Genomic DNA, 23667 nt, shown 5'->3' on the forward strand with positions numbered 1-23667 from the left:
AAGCTCATTAAAGAATTGTGGGCTTTTGACTATTGCCTTTGATTTAACCTGGCAAGACATGTATGTGGTATTAACTACTTGTTGTTCCCACAAAGAAAAATCATGCATATGGTCTTTAGCTTGAGTTTTTGGGCAGATGAAGCTCATGCTCATAATTAATGGTAATAGAGCCAGGGCAATAGGTGACCACAACACAGAAACCAGCTGGCAATATCAGGCTGCTGATGCCAGCCCAAACAGAGGCGGGATTACATGATAGCTTGCTTGTTGGAAGGAATGAAAAAGCCTGTAATAAAACCTATTAATTTTTCTTTTTTCTTTTTCTTTTCTTTTTTTTTTTTTTTTTTTGAGATGGAGTCTCACTCTGTCGCCCAGGCTGGAGTGCAGTGGCGCAACCTCGGCTCACTGCAACCTCCACCTCCTGGGTTTAAGCAATTCTCTGCCTCAGCCTCCAGAATAGCTGGCATTACAGGTGCATGCCACCACGCCCGGCTAATTTTTTTGTATTTTTAATAGAGACGGGGTTTCACCATCTTGGCCAAGCTGGTCTTGAACTCCTGACCTCATGATCCACCTGTCTCAGCCTCCTAAAGTCCTGGAATTACAGGCGTGAGCCACTGCACCGGGCCAATTTTTCTAAATTACCGGAAATTACCCAGCAGCCATCTGAGAACCCCACCCTTTTCCAAATTAGACTGGTGGAGGCCATACATAAATATACAAATTTAGATCCTGAAAGCCCTGAGGGCCAGTTCACTCTGGCCATACATTTTATAAGTCAGGCTTCCCCAGACATCAGACAAAAACTCCAAAAATTAGAGCAAGGCCCACAGATTCCCTTTCCGACTTTATTAAATACAGCCTTTAAGGTTTTCAATAACTGGGAGGAAACCTCAAAAATAAAAAAGACTCAATTGGAGGAAGAACAATGCCATCGCCAAGCTAATTATGTGGTAACACAGCATTGACACGTTCTTTTTCGTTAGTTAATAACCCCAAGGCATGTCCCTATAATACTAACAGAATGGGGGCCTGTCATCACTGCAGAAATCCAGGATATTGGCGTAGAGAACATTCCAAACCTCCAGGTTACAAAGCTGCCCCCAGGATCCTGTCCTCATTGTAAACAAGAGGGTCATTGGAACAGCGAGTGTCCTTCTCTCCCTCATGAGGAGGGGCCACCTCCTCCTTCTGGGCCGTCGCAGCCACAACCTCACCAACCTACCCAACAAGGGGGTCCTGCAGAAAGAGGACAAGGGCAAGGGCAAGCACAAGCACCTCTAACTCTATTCCTGGATTATGATCGAGCCTCTGAAAGTCATCCCCTAGATGACTGATGGGGCCTTGAGGCCATCCAGGCCCTTACCTTTTCCAACTCTATGGAGGAGCCTCAGTCAATCCAGCTGTGGCTGAACAAGAAATAATGTTCCTCATAGATACAGGGTTCAGCTTCAAATGTTGACCAAATGTGCCAGTCCTCCATATTCCTCACGGGCATTGACGAAAAACCCCAATGAGGCTGTTTCACACAGCCACTCCCTTGAAAAATGGAAGGCTATTTCTTTACCCACTCCTTTTTAGTCCTACCAAGTTGCTCTGGGTTTTTTTTGTTGTTTTTTTTTTTTTTTTGAGACAGAGTCTTGCTCTGCCACCCAGGCTGGAGTCCAGTGACGTGATCTTGGCTCACTGCAACCTCCACCTGCCGAGTTTAAGCGATTCTCCTGCCTCAGCCTCCTGAGTAGCTGGGATTACAGGTGTGGGCCACTGACACCCAGCTAATTTTTGTATTTTTAGTAGAGATGGGGTTTCACCATGTTGGCCAGGATGATCTTGATCTCCTGACCTTGTGATCTGCCCTCCTCGGCCTCCCTAAGTGCTGGGCTTAGAGGGGTGAGTCACTGCCCCTGGCCTAGAATTATTATTATTATTATAATTATTATTATTATTACTATTACTATTTTTGAGACGGAGTTTCGCTCTTGTTGCCCAGGCTGGAGGGCAATGGCTTGATCTCGGCTCACCGCAACCTCCGCCTCCCAGGTTCAAGAGATTCTTCTGCCTCAGCCTCTCGAGTAGCTGGGATTACAGGCATGCGCCACCACGCCTGGCTAATTTTGTATTTTTAGTAGAGAAGGGGTTTCTCCATGTTGGTCAGGCTGGTCTCAAACTCCTGACCTCAGGTGATCCGCCTGCCTCAGCCTCCCAAAGTGCTGGGATTACAGGCATGGGCCACCACACCCAGCCCCTAGAATCACTGATGAAGCTGTAATTTCTATTCATCCTATTGTCCCAAATTCTTACACACTTTTTGGACAAACTCCCACCACCACAGCTTGGTTTATCATACTTGATCTTAAGGATGACTTTTTTGCATTCCTGTACACCAAGATAGCCAAATTTCGTTCACTTTTGAATGGCAATATCCACATACACAAATAACTCAACCATTAACTCATGCAGTTCTGCCCCAGGGATTCAGAGATAGCCTCCACCTTTTTGGACAGGCTCTAGCTAGGGACTTGTCCACCCTGCAGCTTCTCCCATATAGCAATCTGCTCCAGTATGTGGATGACCTACTAATCTGTAGTCCTAACGAGGCTGTTTCAGACCAAAATACAGTATTAGTACTAAACAAACTTGCTGATTGTGAATACAAATTATCTTCTTCTAAGGCCAAAACACCCACACAAAGAGTTCAATTTTGGGGTCTTATCTTAACCCTTGGTACAAAGAGCCTCTCTAGTGCTCGTAAAGATCTTAAACATGACAACTCTAGTAAATAAACAACAGCTTTGGTCCTTTCTGGGTAGAGTCAGGTTTAATATGGATTCCTTCCTTCAGATTAATAGCAAAATCTTTATATGAAGCTTTCAAGGGAACTGAGGAACAGCCTCTAACATGGACTAATGATATGAAACATGCTCTAAACACTTTTAAACAGGCTTTAATCTCAGCCCCAGCCCTAGCCTTACCAGATCTGACTAAGCCTTTCTTTTTGTATGTACACAAACAAAAGGGAATCGCTTTGGAAGTCTTAGACCAAGATCTGGAGCCCTCTAAGTGCCCTACAGAATATTTTTCAAAAACTTTAGACTTGGTACCCCAGGGATGGCACCCCTACTTAAAAATAGCAGTGGTCCAAGCACGGTGGCTCTCGCCTATAATCCCAGCACTTTGGGAGACTGAGGTGGGAGGATCACAAGGTCAGGAGTTCGAGACCAGCCTGGCCAACATGGTGAAACCCCGTCTCTACTAAAAAAATATATAAAAATTAGCTGGGTGTGGTGTGCACCTGTAATCCCAGCTACTCGGGGGGCTGAGGCAGGAGAATTGCTTGAACCTGGGAGGCGGAGGTTGCAGTGAGCCGAGATTGTGCCATTGCACTCCAGCCTGGGCAACAGACAAAAACTCCATATGGGGAGGGAAAAAAAAAAAGCTGCAGTGGCCCTCTTAGTCCAAAAAGCCTCCAACTATATTACCTGCTCCTCCTGGGCTCTTAGGGCTTTGTGGCACTGCCAATAATTATTTAAACTCTTTTCAAGCTTTGGCCCTATCCCACCTTGATAATTCTCTTCATTATGGTGATTGCACTCTGAGAACAATAGTTCCCATCCAAATCACTGTCTTGAATATAACTTCCAATTCAGAATTCCATTCTAGAAGAAAGGGAGCCCTAGGACTTATTATGGCTGGAGTTGTGGGAACGATTGCAACACTCACCCCTTGAGGGGGTTTTGCTTACCATGAAATCACACTACAAGGACATACTGTCTCCCTTGAAATAGCCTTAGCAAAAACTGGTGCAAGTCTATCAGCAATAGAAAAGTCTTTAGACTCGCTAGCAGGAATGGTGTTTGATAACAGATGAGCTCTGGATTATCTAATAGCTGAACAAGGAGGAGTCTGTGCTGTCATCAACAAAACCTGTTGCACCTACATTAATGTGTATGGAGAAGTGGAACTTCCAATGTCCAAAAAATTTTTTAATAAGCCAAGTGGCTACACACACCTTCCCAAAGTAGCCAAGACTGGGCCAGAACCTTTACTGATTGCTCTCCAAAAATCACTTGGCTTCTCCCATTCTGGACCTTTATTCCTTGTCATTCTTTTAATATTTGGTCCCTGCCTTTTTAATGCTCTCGTTAAGTTTACATCTTTGATATTAAAACAATTCCACCTACAGATGGCTATGCAATCCCAATACCAGCCTGCAACAGCAACTTCCATTCACATGGGGTCTCTTGATGGAATTCAGTCTTCCCCACAAGTCTTTCATGACCCTTCATTCCCTTCATGACAGAGAGCAAGAAAGGGAAAAACTCAACCGAAACCCTTAACACCCCTTTTCAGCAGGAAATAGCCAGACGTACTTGTCACCCCTCTTCACTGTGCCATTTTCCCTCTCTTGAGACCCCAATAGGCAGCAGGTAGCCATGATCATGAGGGAACATAAAGGGCCAAAGATTTGACCAAAATGTCTGTCAGGGAAAAAATGAAAACAGCAAATCACCTGGTGACCATCTAGCAGGCCCTGGAGACAAAAACTCCTTATCTGAGGAATTTAGAAGTAATTAAACTTCCCTCTTATCTAAAGGCATCTGGTTCCAGGCCTTTTCTCAACTTAAAATTTGTAAGTAACTAGAATTTCTTTTTTTTTTTTTTTTTTTTTGAGACGGAGTCTCGCTGTGTCTCCCAGGTTGGAGTGCAGTGGCGCGATCTCGGCTCACTGCAAGCTCCGCCTCCCAGGTTCATGCCATTCTCCTGCCTCAGCCTCCCAAGTAGCTGGGACTACAGGCGCCCGCCAACACGCCCGGCTAATTTTTTGTATTTTTAGTAGAAACGGGGTTTCACCGTGTTAGCCAAGATGGTCTCGATCTCCTGACCTCGTGATCCGCCCGTCTCGGCCTCCCAAAGTGCTAGGATTACAGGCGTGAGCCACCGCGCCCGGCCAGTAACTAGAATTTCTATACATCTCCAGAATGCATGCATGTTGAAACTCATTGTGCAACCCTTGCTGACATTAAGGCACCAAAATATCTGTAAATGTAATCATTTATTGTGCAAATTTCCCTTCAGCTCCTGCATTAAGGTCCATAAATACCCTAAGGAAAAATCCACTGGCGTTTTCACTCCTCTAGTGTGCCACTGCCATCTTCTGTAGCATTCTTTCTTTCTAATAAAACGTTCCTTTTTCTTTTTTTTTTTTTTTGTGAGACGGAGTCTCACTCTCCCAGCCTGGAGTGCAATGGCATGGTCTTGGTTTACTGCAACCTCCGCCTACAGGGTTCAAGTGATTCTCCTGCCTCAGTCTCCCAAGCAGCTGGGATTACAGGTGCATGCCAACACGCCCAGCTAATTTTTGTATTTTTGTAGAGATGGGGATTTACTATGTTGGCCAGGCCAGTCTTGAACTCCTGACCTCAGGTGATCCACCCACCTCAGCCTCCCAAAGTGCTGGGATTACAGGCATGAGCCACCGTACCCGGCCCAAAACTTTCCTTTTTCAAACCTATACTATAGTCGGTAGATTCTTCTTACCAACCTGCAAGTCCATCACTGCCCAATGCTGATGCCAGGGCTCTGACACCACACCCAGCAGTTTTCTAGCAGTGGAATCTGTTATACTAACTCTTTGAATGAGTAACTGAAACAGATTCTGAAACTGAAACTGCCTCTGCAAGGATTATGACAGTGGGAGAAATGGCTGTCATGACTGCCTCCATGACTGCTTCTAATCATGCCTCCAGGCCTCCATGACTGCCTCCATGACTGACTCCATCTTGCTTCTAAGCCTCACAGGCTGACTGTCCTCACTCATGCCTGGGTGTGGCCAAACTAACCATGGGAGGAATTCAATTTATAGTTTAACTTGCAGGCAAGAATGATAATAATCCTTACCTAACACTAACCCCCTCCTTCCTTGCTCAGGGACTAAAAATGAATGATAGGCCATGAGATTAGGATTATGGGAGGAGCCTGAATTCTGCTAAGGATGTAAACATAGTTTCTATAACCACTTACTGCTCAGGAGTCATGTTGCCAGAGGTCACAATATTTGTGATTTCCCCAACTGCCCCATAACCATACAATATAGGCCGGACAATATAGGTGGTGGCTCACGCCTGTAATCCCAACACTTTGGGAGGCTGAGGTGGGAGGATCATGAGGTCAAGAGATCGAGACCATCCTGGCCAACATGGTGAAACCCCGTCTCTACTAAAAATACAAAAATTAGCTGGGTGTGATGGTGTGTGCCTATCGTCCCAGCTACTCTGGAGGCTGAGGCAGGGGAATCGCTTGAACCCAAGAGGCAGAGGTTGCAGTGAGCGGAGATCTTGCCACTGCACTCCAGCCTGGCAACAGAGTGAGACTCTGTCTCAAAAGAAAAAAAAAGGCCAGGCGCAGTGGCTCACGCCTGTAATCCCAGCACTTTGGGAGGCCAAGGCAGGCAAATCACCTGAGGTTGGGAGTTCCACACTAGCCTGACCAACATGGAGAAACCCCATCTCTACTAAAAATACAAAATTAGCCGGGTGTGGTGGCACATGCTTGTAATCCCAGCTACTCGGAAGGCTGAGGCAGGGGAATCGCTTGAACCCGGGAGGTGGAGGTTGCAGTGAGCTGAGATCGCATGACTGCACTCCAGCCTGGGCAACAAGAGTGAAACTCCATCTGAAAAAAAAAAAAATTACAATGTAATAGTGATGCTAGGACCTAAGATTGGTCTTTTAAGATGTTTTCCAGACTTTTGTATTCTATCTCATGACTCAACTGATCCTGCAGCCCTGACCCAGAGGTAGATTCAGCACACAAGGATTGTTTTCTGCATTCCTATGATTTTATCCCCAACCAGTCAGCAGCACCCACTCCTTAGCCCCTGCTCACCAAATTATCTACAAAAACCCTAGCCTCTGAGTTCTCAGGGAGGCTGATTTCAGTAATAATTCTGTTTTCCACATGCCTAGCCAAGTTTTAATTAAACTCTTTCTTTACTGCAACGCCATGGTCTCTGTGAATTGGTTTTGTCTGTATAGTAGGCAGGAGAAACCTGTTGGGCAATTACAAAACTTTTTCTGGAGTTTCACGGTAAAAAAAAAAAAAAAAAAAAAAAGGCCCTTTCAAAATCCATTAATGGTAGGAAAAGTAGAGTCTATGTATGTGAGAGATCCTATAAAGAGTTATCAAACTGAACTTGGGTTCGCTCACCCAGCACAGTAAAGTCAAACATCCACACCAAGTTTTTTGCAGTGGGAGAAAGGAGGGCATTTATTTGCAGGGCACCCAACAAGGAGAATCAGGCAGCTCACACTTAAGACCCAACCTCCCCAGTGGCTTACAGTTAATGGTTTTTTAAGGCAAGGAAACAGCGGTTATGGGCAAAAATCATAAATTGGGCCAGGTGCTGTGGCTCACACTTGTAATCCCAGCACTTTGGAATGCCGAGGCAGGTAGATCACCTGAGGTCAGGAGTTCAAGACCACCCTGGCCAACGTGAAAAAACCCCATCTCTACTAAAAGTACAAAAATTAGCCAGGTGTGGTGGCAGGCGCCTGTAATCCCCAGCTATTTGGAAGGCTGAGGCAGGAGAATCACTTGAACCAGGGAGGCAGAGGTTGCAGTGAGCCAAGATTGTGCCACTGCACTCCAGCCTGGGTGACAGAGTGAGACTCTGTCTCAAAAAAAAAAATCATAAATCAATACATGGAGGCCATACAGGACATCTCAAATCGGGGCTCACAGGCCACAGGTGAATTCAAAGATTTTTCTGATTTGCAATTGGTTAAGGAGGGAAAACTTTGTAAAAAATTTAGGATCAGCAGAAAAGAATGTTAGCTCTGGTTTATGGGCATGCTCCCTCCACACCCTTCAGGAAGAAATTTATAACAAAGAATGGTGGCCAGCATTCATTCCTCAGTTTCCCCCTTATCTGAGGTCTGCGTGCCAGAGGAGCCATTTGATGGAGGTCTGGGTTTCTGAAAAACAACTCAGGGATATATGTTAAGATGTTATCTTCAGTTTCTAAAGGAAACCAAACATCCTGTGACTTCAACTTCCTTGGCTATTGTTTTAAGCTACCATTCCCTTCTTGCTTATCAAGTTGTTCATTTACTTCTCAAGGCTAGCTAGGTGCCTGGAATTTCCCTTGAAGGAATTCAAGATTTTTCTTTATTTCCATGCTTTGTGGGGAAGGTCATCCCTGGCAGGCCCCCAAGAGGGGTCTTTGCTCCATCTCAGAGTCTATGTGTGACTGGAACTCTCATACATTGCTAGTGGGAGTGCAAAATGATATAATCACTTTAGAAAATACTCTAACCTTCTCTTATAAAGTTTAACATATACTTACCATACAAACCATCAAATCCCTTTTTAGATGTGTACCCAAAGAAAATGAAAATAGAGATCTACTCAAAGACTTGTATGCAGCTTTATTAATGATAGCCAAAAACTAGAAACAGCCCACATGTCCATCAACTAGTGAATAGATAAGCGTATGGTGGAAGACCCATACTATGGAATGCTCCTCAGCCATAAAAAGGAACAAATTAACATATAATCTAGGTAAACTGACACCCATTTTACTTGGGAGGAATATGGCCTTCTAGTGAGAATGAGTAATGAAGGTGTGATATTGAAGAGTTGGCCCAGCTGTCCTCATGCACTGCTGTCCACTCTATCATTCATAGCCTTCTTCAGCCTCAGTTCCTGTTTTTTTAAAATAAGAACAACGTTCATCTCAACACATAAAACTGGCAAAATAGTAATAACTATGTTGTAGAGAATTCAGAAAACTGATGCTCTCCAACAGCTAGTGTGATCCTCAGGAGCGCAGTCTAGGAATGGGAAAAAAAAGCCTTAAAATGTGCAGACCTCCTGACCCAGCCATTTCACTTTTAGGCAATTTCCCTAAGACTATAATCACTTATGATGAAAATATTGGTCCTAGTGACATTGACAAAGTTACTCATTTTATCTGATGTATATTTGTTTCAGAAAAATAATGCCAATATTATTAGTAATAATAAAACTATGACCTACATAAACAAAAAAACTTTGTGTTATCTCACTTAAACCTCAAAACAGCCTGATGTGATACTTACAGATTTCACAGGTGAGGAAAATGTTGTGCCTAATGACACATATCTGGTAAGTATATCCTTAGTCATCAGGATGCAAACCTTGACTGTCTGAGACAATCCTCACTGTTAGCCACTGTCTTACACAGCCAGATATACAAGGCCTGGGCAATTGTACCCACTGTTAGAAATTCAGATAACTATGTTTTAGAGACTGCTAGTAATGACTATATCAAACAAATCAATACATTGAACATTAATTCTTTTTTTTTTTTTTGAGATGGAGTCTCGCTCTGTCGCCCAGGCTAGAGTGCAGTGGTGCGATCTTGGCTCACTGCAAGCTCCGCCTCCCGGGTTCACGCCATTCTCCTGCCTCAGCCTCCCAAGTAGCTGGGACTACAGGTGCCCGCCACCACGCCCGGCTAATTTTTTGTATTTTAGCAGAGACGGGGTTTCACCGTGTTAGCCAGGATAGTCTTGATCTCCTGACCTCGTGATCCGCCCGCCTCAGCCTCCCAAAGTGCTGGGATTACAGCCGTGAGCCACCGTGCCTGGCCGAACATTAATTCTTGAATTTGCTCATTGCTGTTCCCTATTTACAGATATGAGCCAAAGTGTAACTTTATAACAGACAAGTGTCACCTAACTCTTGTGAGTTTGATCCCAGGTTATCAATCTCCTACCCCTTCTAGTTTACTAGACAAAATATAAAGAACAGTTGGTCTGTCAAGGAGTTCTGGAAGTTTATTAACAAATTAACAGGGCAATAGAAGTTATTAGATTAGATTAGAGCTGAGGAATGATGGCAGGGTGTTCCCCTGCCCTACAAAGACCATTTTGACTTCCAACCTGGGGACAGAGTCCTGGTTATGACTTTAAAGGAACCTAAACGCCGGGCGTGGTGGCTGACGCCTGTAATCCCAGCACTTTGGGAGGCTGAGGGGGGTGAATCACTTGAGGTCAGGAGTTAGAGACCAGCCTGGCCAACACGGTGAAACCTCATCTCTACTAAAAATACAAAAATTAGCCGGGCGTGGTGGCGGGCACCTGTAATCCAGCTACTTGGCGGGCAGACACAGGAGAATCGCTTGAATCCGGGAGGCGGAGGCTGCAGTAAGCTGAGATCACACCACTGCATTCCAGCCTGGGCTACAGAGTGAGACTCTGTCAAAAAAAGAAAGAAAGAAAGGAGAAAGAGATAAAGAGAGAGAAAGAAAGAAAGAGACAAAGAAAGAAAGAGAGAGAGAGAGAAAGGAAGGAAGGAAGGAAGGAAGGAAGGAAGGAAGGAAGGAAGGAAGGAAGGAAGGAAGGAAGGAAGGGAAAGAAACAAAGAAAGGAAAGAAAGAAAGAAAGAAAGAAAGAAAGAAAGAAAGAAAGAGAGAGAGAGAGAGAAAGAAAGAAGGAGAAAGGAAGGAAGGAAGGAAGAAAGAAAGAAAGAAAAAAAGAAAAGAAAAAGAAAAAAAGAGAATAAAGGTCCTAAAAAGTCTAGCCTGACCACAGGTCATCTGGAAAGGCCAAGTTGATTCCACAGCCATTCTAAAATGTGCATTCTCTCCTTGATGGATCTGAAAACCTACTTTCCATCCCCACTCCAACCAACCCAGCCTTTCTATGGCAAGCGCATGCTCTGGGGCATGAGCACTGGTGAGAATCATTGCCCCTATAAAACTAAGACTAGAGTTGAGTTCTGTCCATCCCCAACTAGAAGGGAGATTATTTATCCCTTTCCATTATTTTCTCCCCTCTGTCTACTCCTTTCCCCTATTCTCACTAAACACTAACTCATCTTGCAAATATTAGTCACTTTAAGTCATAAAACAACCCATCACACTGGAATATCTTGAGGTGTCAAACTCTCAGTGTGTATCAATTCCTGAAAAGTGTTGGGTTCTAACTAAAGAGTCAGGGAAGGCCTGGTGCAGTGGCTCATGCCTGTAATCCTAACACTTTGGGAGGCAGAGGCTGGCAGACGGCCTGAGCTTGGATGTTCAAGACCAGCCTGGACAACATGGTGAAACCCCGTCTCCATTTAAAAGAAAAAAAAAGAGCTAGGGGGATATCAGAATGGCTCTTCCTCTTCCCTCTTCCCTGCCCTTCCTGCCTATCCCATGAAGGAGGCAGAATGCCCACCAAAGAGGCAGCCACAGGGAGGCAGAGAACCAAAGAAGATGCTGGCAAAGGAGGTGTCACCAGAGATGGGACTGAGAAGCTGAGAGGGTCAAGAAAAATGGAGTGACCTTCTCCCACATGGAATGGAAGAAAGCTAGAAAAAAATTGAGATATTGGATTGGAATTGGAGATACTGGTGTGAATTTATATTTGCTAGATGATGATTAGATAGATATAGATAATCAATGTGTGCATGTGAACCCTAGTTCCAATGAGCCTACTAAGCACCCAGATCTTGGTTTCTAAATACCATCCTCCACTAAAAGGAGCCAGGAATCCTTGGAGAAATGACAGATTCCAGTGCTGGGGTATAAGTTGAGTTTGGAATACTCTATAATAGCAGAAAATAAGGAAGTATTCAAAGAATGATGGAGATATATCCAAAGGAAATGGGACTCAGCTTTGAGAGGGTTTTCACTGACCAAAACTGGGACAATCTGAGCATTGTAATAAATGATGATAACAGATCCTAATCTATTGACTAACATAAGAATCCATGAGTTCACATTGACATGAATAAATGAATGAATGAATGAATGAATGATTAAGGAAGAAGGAAAAGTTTTTCTTTTTCTTTTCTTTTCTTTTCTTTTTTTTTTTGAGACGGAGTTTCACTCTTGTTACCCAGGCTGGAGTGCAATGGCGCAATCTCGGCTCACCGCAACCTTTGCCTCCCAGGTTCAAGTGATTCTCCTGCCTCAGCCTCCCAAGTAGCTGGGATTACAGGCATACACCACCATGCCCAGCTAATTTTGTATTTTCAGTAGAGATGGGGTTTCTCCATGTTGGTCAGGCTGGTCTCGATCTCCCAACCTCAGGTGATCCACCCGCCTTGACCTCCCAAAGTGCTGGGATTACAGGCGTGAGCCACCACACCCAGCCAGCTTAGTATTATTTTGGGGGCCACTCCTGCCAAAAATTCATGACCTGAGTATGGACAAGAGAAAGCATCAGACAAACCCCAACTGAGAGTACTTAGAGAATGAAATAGAATATACTGTTTAAACTGTAAAGGTCATGAAAGACAAGGAAACATTAAGAAACAATTCTAGATGGAAGAAGACTAAAAAGACACAACAAGTAATGCAATGTGATACTGGATCACATTCTAGACTACAAAGAGAGAATGGAACAGTTGGCAAAATTTGAACAGGGTCTGTTAATTGTGTAGTAGCGTTATATCAATGTTGACTTCCTGAATTGGGATAGTTGTATCATACAGGAAAAATGTCCTTGTTCAGGGGAAATTCACTGTAGTATTTAAGGGTTGGATCATCGTGTTTGCAACTTGTTCTTCAATGGTTTGGAAAAAGAATCATCATATACGTTAGAGAGAGAGAGAAATATGGCAAAATGTTAACAACTGGGAAATCTGAGTAGAGAACATGGAAGTTTTGTGTTTGAAATCCTGGATTGTGATTACGTGGGGGGTTCGTTTCATAAACTGTATCAAGCTGTACACTTTTGGTGTGTGCACTCTTCTGTATACATATTATACTTTTAAAAATAATTTACTTAAAAAAATTAACCCTCCCCAAAAAATTAAGAATTGGGCTTATTTGGTAACTTTTTATTTTGATATAATTTCAAATTTACAGAGAAGTTGAAGAATCATACAAAGCATTCCTGTATACTCTTTCTCTAGATTCATTAATTGTTTACATTTGTCCCATATTTTGTCATTCTCTCTCTGCAGATATATGTGTATACATTTTTCCTGAACACTTTGAGACTATTAAGTGGCAAACATCATGCCTATTTGTCCCTAAATTCTTTAATGTGCATTTCCTATGAACAAGGACATTCTCTTACATAACCATAGTACCATTATCAAAATCAGGAAATTTATCATTGATACAATACCATTATTTCTTTTTTCTTTTTTTTTTTTTTTGAGACAGAGTCTCACTCTGTTGCCCAGACTGAAGTGTAATGGTGCGATCTCGGCTCACTGCAACCTCCGCCTCCAGGGTTCAAGCGATTCTTCTGTCTCAGCCTCCCGAGTAGCTGGGATTACAGGCATGAGCCACCACACCCAGCTATTTTTTGTATTTTTAGTAGAGATGGGGTTTCACCATGTTAGTCAGGCTGGTCTCGAATTCCTGACTTCAGGTGATCCACCTGCCTCAGCCTCCCAAAGTACTGGGATTACAGGCGTGAGCCACCGCGCCCGGCCTACAATACCATTTTCTAATCCAGTACGTAGTCAGTCACCTGTCATCAGTTATGCCAACACGTCTTTTTTTTTTTAAGTCCAGTCTCCAATTCCAGGATTATGTTACATCCAGTTGTCATGTCTCTTTAGTCTCCTTTAACCTGAAACAGATCATCAGTCTTTCATGACCTTGACTTTTTTGAAGACTGGAGGCCAGTTTGTAGAATATCCCTCAATTGGAGTTTGTCTGATATTTCCTCATGATTAGATTCAGCATATGCATTTTTGGCAGGAATACCACTAAAATGATGTTGTGTCCTTGTTAATACATCACATCAGAAGGCCAGGTACTGTGGCTCACGCCTGCAATCTCAGCACTTTGGGAGGCCGAGGCGGGCGGATCACCTGAGGTCAGGAGTTCAAGAACAGCCTGGCCAACATGGCGAAACCCAGTATCTACTCAAAATACAAAAATTAGCCGGGCGTGGTGGCAGGTGCCTTTAATCCCAGCCACTCAGGAGGCTGAGGTGGGAGAATCACTGGAACCCGGGAGGTGAAGGTTGCAGTGAGCCAACATCTTGCCACTGCACTCCAGCCTGGGTGACAGATGGAGACTCTGTCTCAAAAAAAAAAAAAAAAAATACATCACATGAGAAATGCATGTTACTTGGTCCCATCATTAGTGATATAACTTTGATTACTTGGTTAAAGCAGTGTTTACCAGACAGCACCACTGTAAAGTTACTATTTTTCCCTTTGTAATGACTAGGTAACCTTCAGGGAGATTATTCAAGACTAGTAAATACCATGTTCCTCATCAAACTTGCTGGCTAACTTTAGCTACCATTGATGATTCTTGTCTGAAGCAATTACTAATATGGTAGTTATCAGATGGTGATTTTCTCATTCCATCATTCTATCTACATTTATCACACTTATTAGTTGGCATTCTGCTGTAAAGAGAAGGTGTTCTGTTGTCTTCCTTTTATAGGCTATTCATTTCTTCACGTACATCAGTTTGGACTCTTGGATTTCTATTTTGGTCAGTAAGTTATTATGTTAACTATCATTGTAACTTTGAGGCTCAAATTGTCCCAGAATTGGCTAGTGGGGAATCCAAGATGCATTCTCGCCCTGACTTCCTCATTACTAGCCAAGTCACATTGTACTCTCAACTTCTTCACATCAAAGTAAAATTAAATTGTGCATTTGAGTTGCACAGTGTACCCAACTACAACATATGTATAGGAGAAAAAATACAACATAAAAGAATAAAAAGGGGAAAGCAGGGAAATTCTATGATCTATAAGTAGCAAAATCTCCCTACTTTCAGCAATATAAGTTAACTCATGGTAAATGACAGCAGCAGGGATAAGTGTTAAGGCTCTACTAAAATCTGCCATGTTTGAAGGCCAGGTGTAGTGGCCCACACCTGTAGTCCCCGCACTTTGGGAGGCCAAGGTGGGCTGATCATCTGAGGTCAGGAGTTCGGGACCAACCTGACCAACATGGAGAAACCCCATCTCTACTAAAAATACAAAATTAGCCAGGTGTGGTGGCACATGCCTATAATCCCAGCTACTCAGGAGGCTGAGGCAGGAGAATCGCTTGAACCCAGAAGGCAGAGGTTGTAGTCAGCCAAGATACTGCCATTGCACTCCAGCCTGAGCAACAAGAGGAAAACTCTGTCTCAAAAAAAAGAAAAAAAAATCTGCCATGTTCAAATCAGGAATAAGTAACAGTTAAAGTTCAAAAAACTGTAGTCTTCTTTTTTCTTTGTTGTAGAGGCCTCTTTTTCCAACAACTCACAATGTTCAGTTCTCTTTCTATTTGGTCTAAAGCGCCATGATAGATATCAGCTAACAACACTGAGAACTAGAAGTTCCTCTATAACTTTGCACAATACCCAAAAAATTGTTTATAAGACCAGGTTATCCTTTCTTATTTTTATCCAGTCTCATAGGATGATGGCATTTTTCAAATTAGCATTTTTAATTTATGAATAGAATTATTCTCATACAATAATAAACCCTATTTTCTTCATCTTGAATAACAAACATAAAATCTCCGAGAGGCATTCTACTTTTCAAAATCAGGATCATGTTAAACAACTTCTACATTTAAGGAGAGAGAAAAGCCCAGCCTAGGCAACACAGTGATGTTGCAGGACTTTCCTTAGTTCAGCTAAAGACGGGGTTCTTGTCCGTCCCACTGCCACGAAAATTTAGGCTCACAGACAGTTTAAAGGGTGAGTGAAGTAGGGTTTTACTGAATGAAAAGGGAAATAAAAGGGGGAAACAAGGATCCTCCGCAAGGCCAGAGCCCCCTGCTAGAGCGCATCCCACCCACCCTTTGAATCTCAGGTTCCACACAGGAAGAGGGGCCAGGCTCCTCCCCGCTGCGAAAGTCATGAACTTCCCCAGGCTCCACCTCAGCTGGCAGGCTGGTTGGAGTTTCTCCAGGGACCACCTCCCATCTGGCTGTCTCAGTGAGACCCCATTTCTTTTTTTTTTTTAATTTTTAATTAGCTGTGTGTGGTGGTGCACCCCTGTAGTCCCAGCTACTTGGGAGGCTGAGGAGGGAGGATGGCTTGAGCCTAGGAAGTCAAGGCTGTGGTGGGCCATGATCGCACCACTGCACTCCAGACTGGGCAACAAAGCAAGGCCTCATCTCAAAAAAAAAAAAAAAAATTAAAAATTAAAAAAAGAAAGAAGAGAGAAAAGCCTGTCAAATGAAGTGGGTTTGTTTTTGTTGTTGTTGTTGTTCTTATATAGAGCACTGTGTGTTACACTTAGGGCAGAAAAACCTCCAGAACTCTAAGTTTAATGAATAAAACCAATACATGCCACTGGGACATAAACGTAAAAAGTCAGAAGATAGAACTTGATCGTATCCTAAACAATGAATTAATGTATCTAGATCAGAAACTGGAAGGTTAAAACGTGGAGGAATGAAAGGGATTGGAAGGGCAAAATGTGTTAGGGATTAGCTAGCTAGCATGGTTCAAGGGACAGACTATACAACAAGCACTATTCTCTGATGAGACTGGTTACTTTAGCCAACTTCTGACACAATCAAATAGTAAGACCTCTCAAGCTGAAGACAGACCCCTAGTTGATTTTATCATTGGACAAAATTATACAAAGCCTATCTTAGCAGCAATCAGTTTTCGGTGACACCATTATTTCTTCATGCCCCCAACAAACTGCAGTAGATATGTTGGAATTTAAGCTCAGCACATATAGTCATCCAAATTGTCTCGAAAGGTTACAAAAGATGGGAAGAAAATTATATGTTGTTCTATGAAAACTATGAAAGGAGAGAGTTAGAAAGAAAGATAATCAACAGTGTCAAATACCACTGAGAAATCTAAGACAATGAGGGATGAGAAAAATCCGCCACGCCTCAGGATGAGGAACCCAGGGTTGCCTTCAGCAATCAGTTTGAGTGGCAGAGATGAGGGCTGAGGGAGCAGCAGACGTCAAGAGGGCAGAACAAGGAGTGACTCTGCATTGAGAAAATGGAATTCTGTCCTCAAAACATGTAACAACAAAAGGATGAGGAAATTAGGATAAAAATTGCAGCAAGGTCAAATGAAGGCTTTGGGGTTTGGGGTTTTTGTTTGTTTTTTTCAGCAAGGAGGAAAAAGGATTATGTCTGCAGGCAGAGGAGAGAAGAAGAAATTAAAGGTGCTTAAGCTAGACAAAAAGAAGATAATTAAGACAGAAAATCTTTGATTGCAGATGTTATAGCACCCACCAGGGAGAAAAGGGAGAGAACAGAGAGGACTGAAAACATAAGGTTAGTTTAAACTTAGAAAGAGGAAGTTCAGTTCCTCGCCTAAGATGGGGAAGAGAAAGAAATTGCCACAGAGTTGTTTTGGAATTAAAAGGCTTATCTCGCATGGTCTTTATTTTGCCAGCAAAGTAACAGATAGCCCCTGTCAAAGGAGAAGGGGCACGGAGGGGCACCAAGAGGAGGGTGCAGGAGAGAAAAGGCTTAGAACAATGGTGGGCAGGAAACTGCAAAGAAATGGACACCTGACACCAGGTGTCAGTACCTACTCGGTAGATGTTTGAATAAATTGATAAGACATTTTAAAAGGCCAGACTCGGTGGCTCATGCCTGTAATCTTAGCACTTTGGGAGGCTGAGGAGGGATGATAACTTTGGGCCAGGAGTTCAAGACCAGTCTAGGCAACATAGTGAGACCCCGTCTTTACAAAAAAGTAAAATAAAATAAAAGTTTTTTAAAAGACATTTTAAAAAATAGCTGGTTAGTAATGGGGAGAGTCCCACTGATAAGATGATAAAATTTTCTTATAACTTTTATATCTTTCTGCAGTACCACTATAGTGTTGATAGTAGACTTGCAGAATCAAAAGAAGGAAGGATAAATTACTGTCTTCACTGTGACCTGGTGGCTTTCCCTAGTGGTGCTAGAGGAAAAGTAAGAGCTCCAGGGAACCTAGGCTTTTGCTTTGTAAGGATAGCCTCAATATTGGTACACACTTCGAAACATGGGCTGGGTAAGAATTTAAGTGTAGCCAGAAAAAATATCTTGGTATGAGCTTCATTTATCAACACTTTATCATAAATTCATCATTGTATCTTCAAATTTGTGATTTTTAAAAATGTTGCCACCTTTTCTTTGTGAGGCTGTTCTCAGCCATCTGCTCTTGGCACTTCACACCACTCACCCGAAGAGCTCAAGCAATCATAGTTACTGTGACCACATCAGTGCTGACGAGAACAAAACGTTTTCAGATCATGTCTCTCCCACAAACTCCAGGGCCATAGTTGATCTATGTACAAGTTATCTCCACTTGAATAGCCCGCTGTCATTGCAAATTCAATATTCTCAAAACCAAACCTGACACCTTTCAAAAAAAACACAGCTGCACTTCTGTAACTGGCAAGACCCAGTCAGGAGACAGAAACCACACCAGTGTATGGAAAGAATTAAATATAAAGGATTTTTAAGTAATTATAAAGTTGCTAATTAGGTAACTAAAAGAGCAAAAAGAGAACTCTAAAGGACCACAGAGGTAGCAATTGCAGAATGCAGTTGCCACCCCTACAGCTGAGGGAACAAAGGGAAGAGGCCAGGGTGATTAAAACTTTGAAGCTCAGGCTGGGCACAGTGGCTCACGCCTGTAATCCCAGCACTTTGGGAGGCCGAGGTGGGTGGATCACGAGGTCAGGAGATCAAGACCATCCTGGCCAACATTGTGAAACCCCGTCTGTACTAAAAATACAAAAATTAGCTGGGTGTGCTGGCACACGCCTGTAGTCCCAGCTACTTGGGAGGCTGAGGCAGGAGAATCGCTTGAACCTGGGAGGCAAAGGTTGCAGTAAGCCAAGATTGCACCACTGCACTCCAGCCTGGTGACAGAGCGAGACTCCATCTTAAAAAAAATAAATAAATAAATAAATAATAAAAAACTTTGAAGCTTAAACAAAGGCTCCCACAGAACTGAAATTCATACATCTGAGGAGAGAGCACCACTGATGTTCCTGAGTGGGCATGATAAGATGGGCTCTGCAAGTGTTAGAAAGATTGGAAACTGGATACAGCTCCTGGATGAGAGGCACTGCCGGAATGAAGAAGCGCCGCTTGATGGTGCTCACAGGATGCAATTAGATAGGAAACCCACATGGAACAAACTAGAGGTAACAATTCATTCTCCCACGTCCAGCCTTCTAGCCCTGCTCTAGCATCCCTCATTGGCAGAGTGGAACAGGGAGCCAGTTGGAGAAGCAGAAAAGCAGTTTGTGGAATACCAGCCCCAGAATCACAAAGCAGTGGGTTTGGAGCTAAGAGATAATAACTTAATAACTGATGCAGCTTCTGAACTATATTAGTTAGGGTCCAGCCAGAAAGCAGAAACCACTCTAAGTATTTCAGAAGGATTTTACCACAGGGAATTGGTACATGGGTAAGAGAAGAGCTAAGAAGCCAAAAGGGGCACAACGAAGCAATCTGGAAATGCAACAGCAGGCACCTGCCGCCACCTCCTAGGCTGGAGGGACAATGGGAGTTAGTGGAGTTAGTGGAGCCCAGAATCTAAGGGCATCCAGAGGTCAGAAGAATCATGGCAAGGTCTGCATGGAGGGAACTAGAATAGTGGAGAGAAAGGCTGTCTGGCCAAGGAGGAAGGGATGTTGCAGAGACATCTCTGCAGGAAGCAGAGACAGCAGGAGAGAACTACCCTGGGTTCTCTTCCCCCCGTCTACACTCTTGTGCCAGTGACTTTTGTGAACTTAAAAGTATCTGAGATAGGTCTCAATCAATTTAGAAAGTTTATTTTGCCAAGGCTAAAGACGCACCTGTGACACAGCCTCAGGAGGCCCTGACAACATGCGACCAAAGTGGTTGGGGTACAGCTTGCTTTTATAAATTTTAGAGAGACATAAGGCATCAATCAATACATGTAAGATTTACATTGGTTTGATCTGGAAGGGTGGAACAACTCAAAGGAGGGAGGTGGGGGATGGGCCTTCCAGGTCATAGGTAGATTTAACAATTCTCTGCCCAGCACCATGGCTCACGCCTATAATCCCAGCACTTTGGAAGGCCAAGGCAGATAACCTGAGGTTGGGAGTTCGAGACCAGCCTGAGCAACATGGAGAAACCCTGTCTCTACTTATTTATTTATTTATTTATTTATTTATTTATTTATTTATTTATTTTGAAACGGAGTCTCGCTCTGTCGTCCAGGCTGGATTGCAGTGGCTTGATCTCGGCTCACCGCAACCTCCGCCCCCCAGGTTCAAGCTATTCTTCTGCCTCAGCCTCCCAAGTAGCTGGGACTACAGGCATGTGCCACCACGCCTGGCTAATTTTTGTATTTTTAGTAGAGACGGGGTTTTACCATACTGGCCAGGCTGATCTCGAACTCCTGAGCTCAGGTGATCCGCCTCCCTCGGCCTCCCAAAGTGCTGGGATTACAGGCATGAGCCACCATGCCCAGCCCTTTTTTTTTTTTTTTTTTGGAGATGGCAGGTCTTACTCTGTTGTTCCCCAAGCCAGAGTGCAGTGGAGAAATCATAGCTCACTGCAGCATCAAACTTCTGAGCTCAAGGGACTCTCCCACCTCAGCCACCCTAGTAGCTGGGACCAAAGGTGTACACCACCATGCGCGGCTAATTTGTTTTAGTTATTTTTTTTTTCTTGAGATGGAGTCTCACTCTGTCACCCAGGCTGGAGTGCAGTGGCATGATCTCGGCTCACTGCAACCTCCACCTCCCAGGTTCAAGCAGTTCTCCTGCCTCAGCCTCCTGAGTAGCTGGGACTACAGGCACACACCACCATGCCTGGCTAATTTTTGTATTTTTAGTAGAGACGGGGTTTCACCATGTTGGTCAGGCTGGTCTCAAACTCCTGATCCACCCGCCTCAGTCTTCCAAAGTGCTGGGATTACAGGTGTGAGCCACCGTGCCCAGCCTGTCTCTACTAAAAATACAAAATTAGCCAGGCATCGTGGTGCATGCCTGTAAACCCAGCTACCAAGGAGGCTGAGGCAGGAGAATCGCTTGAACCCGCGAAGCAGAGGTTGCGGTAAGCCAAGATCACGCCACTGCACTCCAGCTTGGGCAACAAGAGTGAAACTCTGCTTCAAAAAAAGAAAAAAGAAACCATTATCTGATTGGCATCAGGTTGAAAGTGTTACTATCAGTAGAAAGGAATGTCTGGGTTACAGTGAGGGGTTGTGTAAACCAAGGTTTTATCCTGCACTTGAAGCATCCAGGTAGCGGGCTTCTGAGAGAGTAGATTGTAAATGTTTCTGATCAGACTTAAGATCTGTGTTGGTCAATGCTGGTCGGGCTTTTCCTGAATTCCAAAAGGGAAGAGGGTATAACGAGGCATTTCCAACCCTCTCTTCCATCATGGCCTGAGCTAGTTTTTCAGGTTAATTCTGGAATGCCCTTGGCCAAGAGGAGGGGTCTTAGAATTTTATTTTTGGTTTACACTTCCATTGCCAGAACCCACTCAGAAGCCAGGGGGCAAGTAGTTTCACGTGATATGAGTTAGAGAGGGTAAGAGCAGAAAAGGATTTGGGAGCATCCAGGCAAATGGCCAGTTCATGGATGTATCCATTTATGTCGGTGGCACTGCCCTGCCCTTTCCCCACTTCCCTGCTCAGAATCCCCAAAATCTTTCATTTTCTCCACTTCAAGTTCTGCATTCCAGTCATCACCTGGTCTGCAGTCCTTTTACCCTAAAAGGGCTCCAATATATCTCCATTTCCATCACATTGGCCCAGCTTAATTCTGGCCCTCCTCACTGCAGATATTAATTATTGCCGTATTTTCTTCCTAACTTGGCTTGAACCTCCAGTTTTTATCTGCTACTGTCCCTTCTACATGGTCTACTCCAGGAGTCACCACACAGTGGCCAATCAGCCAAATCTAGCCCACCACCTGTTCTTGTACATCAAGGGTTTTTTAACTAATATATAATAGTTGTTCATATTTGGGGGGGTATGTGTGTTATTTTAATACCTGTATACAATGTGTAATGATCAAATCAGTATAATTTGGATATCCTTCACCTCAAACATTTATCTTTTCTTTGTGTTGGGAACATTGCAATTTTCCTTGTACATAAGTTTTATTGGTACACTGAGTTAAAAGAAAAACTTCAGCCGAATTAAATTTAAAACAGTTAATTGAGCAAAAAAATGATTCATGAATCAGACAGCCTCCCGAGCTAGAGTATCCTCAGAGACTCTAGAGCAGCCACGTGGTCAGAAAAAGGAAAGTGACATACAGAAAATGGAAATGAGGTACAGAAACAGCCGGATTGCTTGTAGCTCGGCATTTGCCCTATTTGAACAGTTTGAACAGTTGGCCATGTTTGATTGGCCGAAACAGTGATTGGCACAAGAGTAGGCTACAGTCTGTTTACAATTCCATTTAGGTTGTAGTTCACAATGTACAAAGAAACCTTTAGGCTGAACTTAAAATATGTAAGAAGGTAGCTTTAGCTTAAACCTGAGATTTAGCAGCTGCCATGCTCATTCATTTAGTTATTGTCTGTCACTGCTTTCACATTATAATGACAGAGTTCAGTATTTGCAACAGAGACCATATGTATGCCCCAAAATATTTACTTTCTAGTCCTTCACAGAAAAGTTTGCTGATCCCTGAAATTAAACTGACACTAATCCATTCTTTTTTTTTTTTTTTTTTGAGACAGAGTTTCACTGTTATCTTCCAGACTGGAGTGCAATGGCAAGGCTCATTGCAACCTCCGCCTCCCAGGTTCAAGCGATTCTCCTGCCTCAGCCTCCCGAGTAGCTGGGATTACAGGCACCCATTATCATGCCCAGCTAATTTTTGTATTTTTAGTAGAGACAGGGTTTCACCATGTTAGCCAGGCTGATCTCGAACTCCTGACCTCAAGTGATCCACCCGCCTCCGCCTCCCGAAGTGCTGGGATTACAGGGATGAGCCACTGTGCCTGGCCCACTAATCCATTCTGTTACCAAACTAATCTTCCTAAAATACCCTTCCTGTGGCCGGGCACAGTGGCTCATGCATCTAATCCTAGCACTTTGGGAGGCTGAGGCAAGCAGATTACAGTTCAGGAGTTTGAGACCAGCCTAGCCAACTGGTGAAACCCATCTCTATTAAAAATACAAAAATTAGCCAGGCGTGGTGGTGCATGTCTGTAGTCCCAGCTACTCAGGAGGCTGAGGCAAAAGAATCACTTGAACCCGGGAGGCAGAGGTTGCAGTGAGTCGAGATCATGCCACTGCACTCTAGCCTGAGTGACAGAGTCAGACTCCGTCTCAAAAAAAATAATAAAAATAAATGGCCAGGCACTGTGCCTCACGCCTGTAAGGAGGCTGAGGCCAGTGGATCATCTGACGTCAGCAGTTTGAGACCAGCCTGGCCAACATGGGGAAACCCCGTCTCCACTAAAAATACAAAATTAGCCAGGCATGGTGGTGCACACCTGTAATCCCAGCTACTCGGGAGGCTGAGGCAGGAGAATCACTTGAACCCAAGAGGCGGAGGTCGCAGTGAGCCGAGATTGTGCCACTGCACTCCAGCCTGGGCAACAGAGCGAGACTCCATCTCAAAATAATAATAATAATAATAATAATAATAATAATAATAATAATAATAATAAATAAATAAAATACTCTTCCTCGTGTCATTTTCCTACCTTGAAATCATTCCTTATGTCTACCCAAAGTCCGCAGCTTGTCATGATTCAATGTTTTCCCAAACTTGATGCCACATTAAATCAATATTTAAA

The 23667-nt window shown here is 43.6% G+C and overlaps 1 long non-coding RNA gene across 1 annotated transcript in view, besides 1 other annotated feature; it reads right to left on the reverse strand.

The window, feature by feature from the left end:
- Nucleotides 1-23667, reverse strand: part of OXA1L-DT (OXA1L divergent transcript) — a 62343-nt gene that overhangs the window by 27344 nt on the left and 11332 nt on the right. The window lies entirely within an intron of this gene.
- Nucleotides 5695-5864: an enhancer, noted in NCBI's record as "active region_8138". NCBI's record gives its function as "activates an Ori minimal core promoter by ATAC-STARR-seq in GM12878 lymphoblastoid cells {active_cell/tissue: GM12878}" and the evidence as "EXISTENCE:reporter gene assay evidence [ECO:0000049][PMID:35858748]".

The sequence above is a fragment of the Homo sapiens genome, chromosome 14 (genome assembly GCF_000001405.40).
Source record: "Homo sapiens chromosome 14, GRCh38.p14 Primary Assembly".
Classification (NCBI taxonomy): Eukaryota; Metazoa; Chordata; class Mammalia; order Primates; family Hominidae; genus Homo; species Homo sapiens.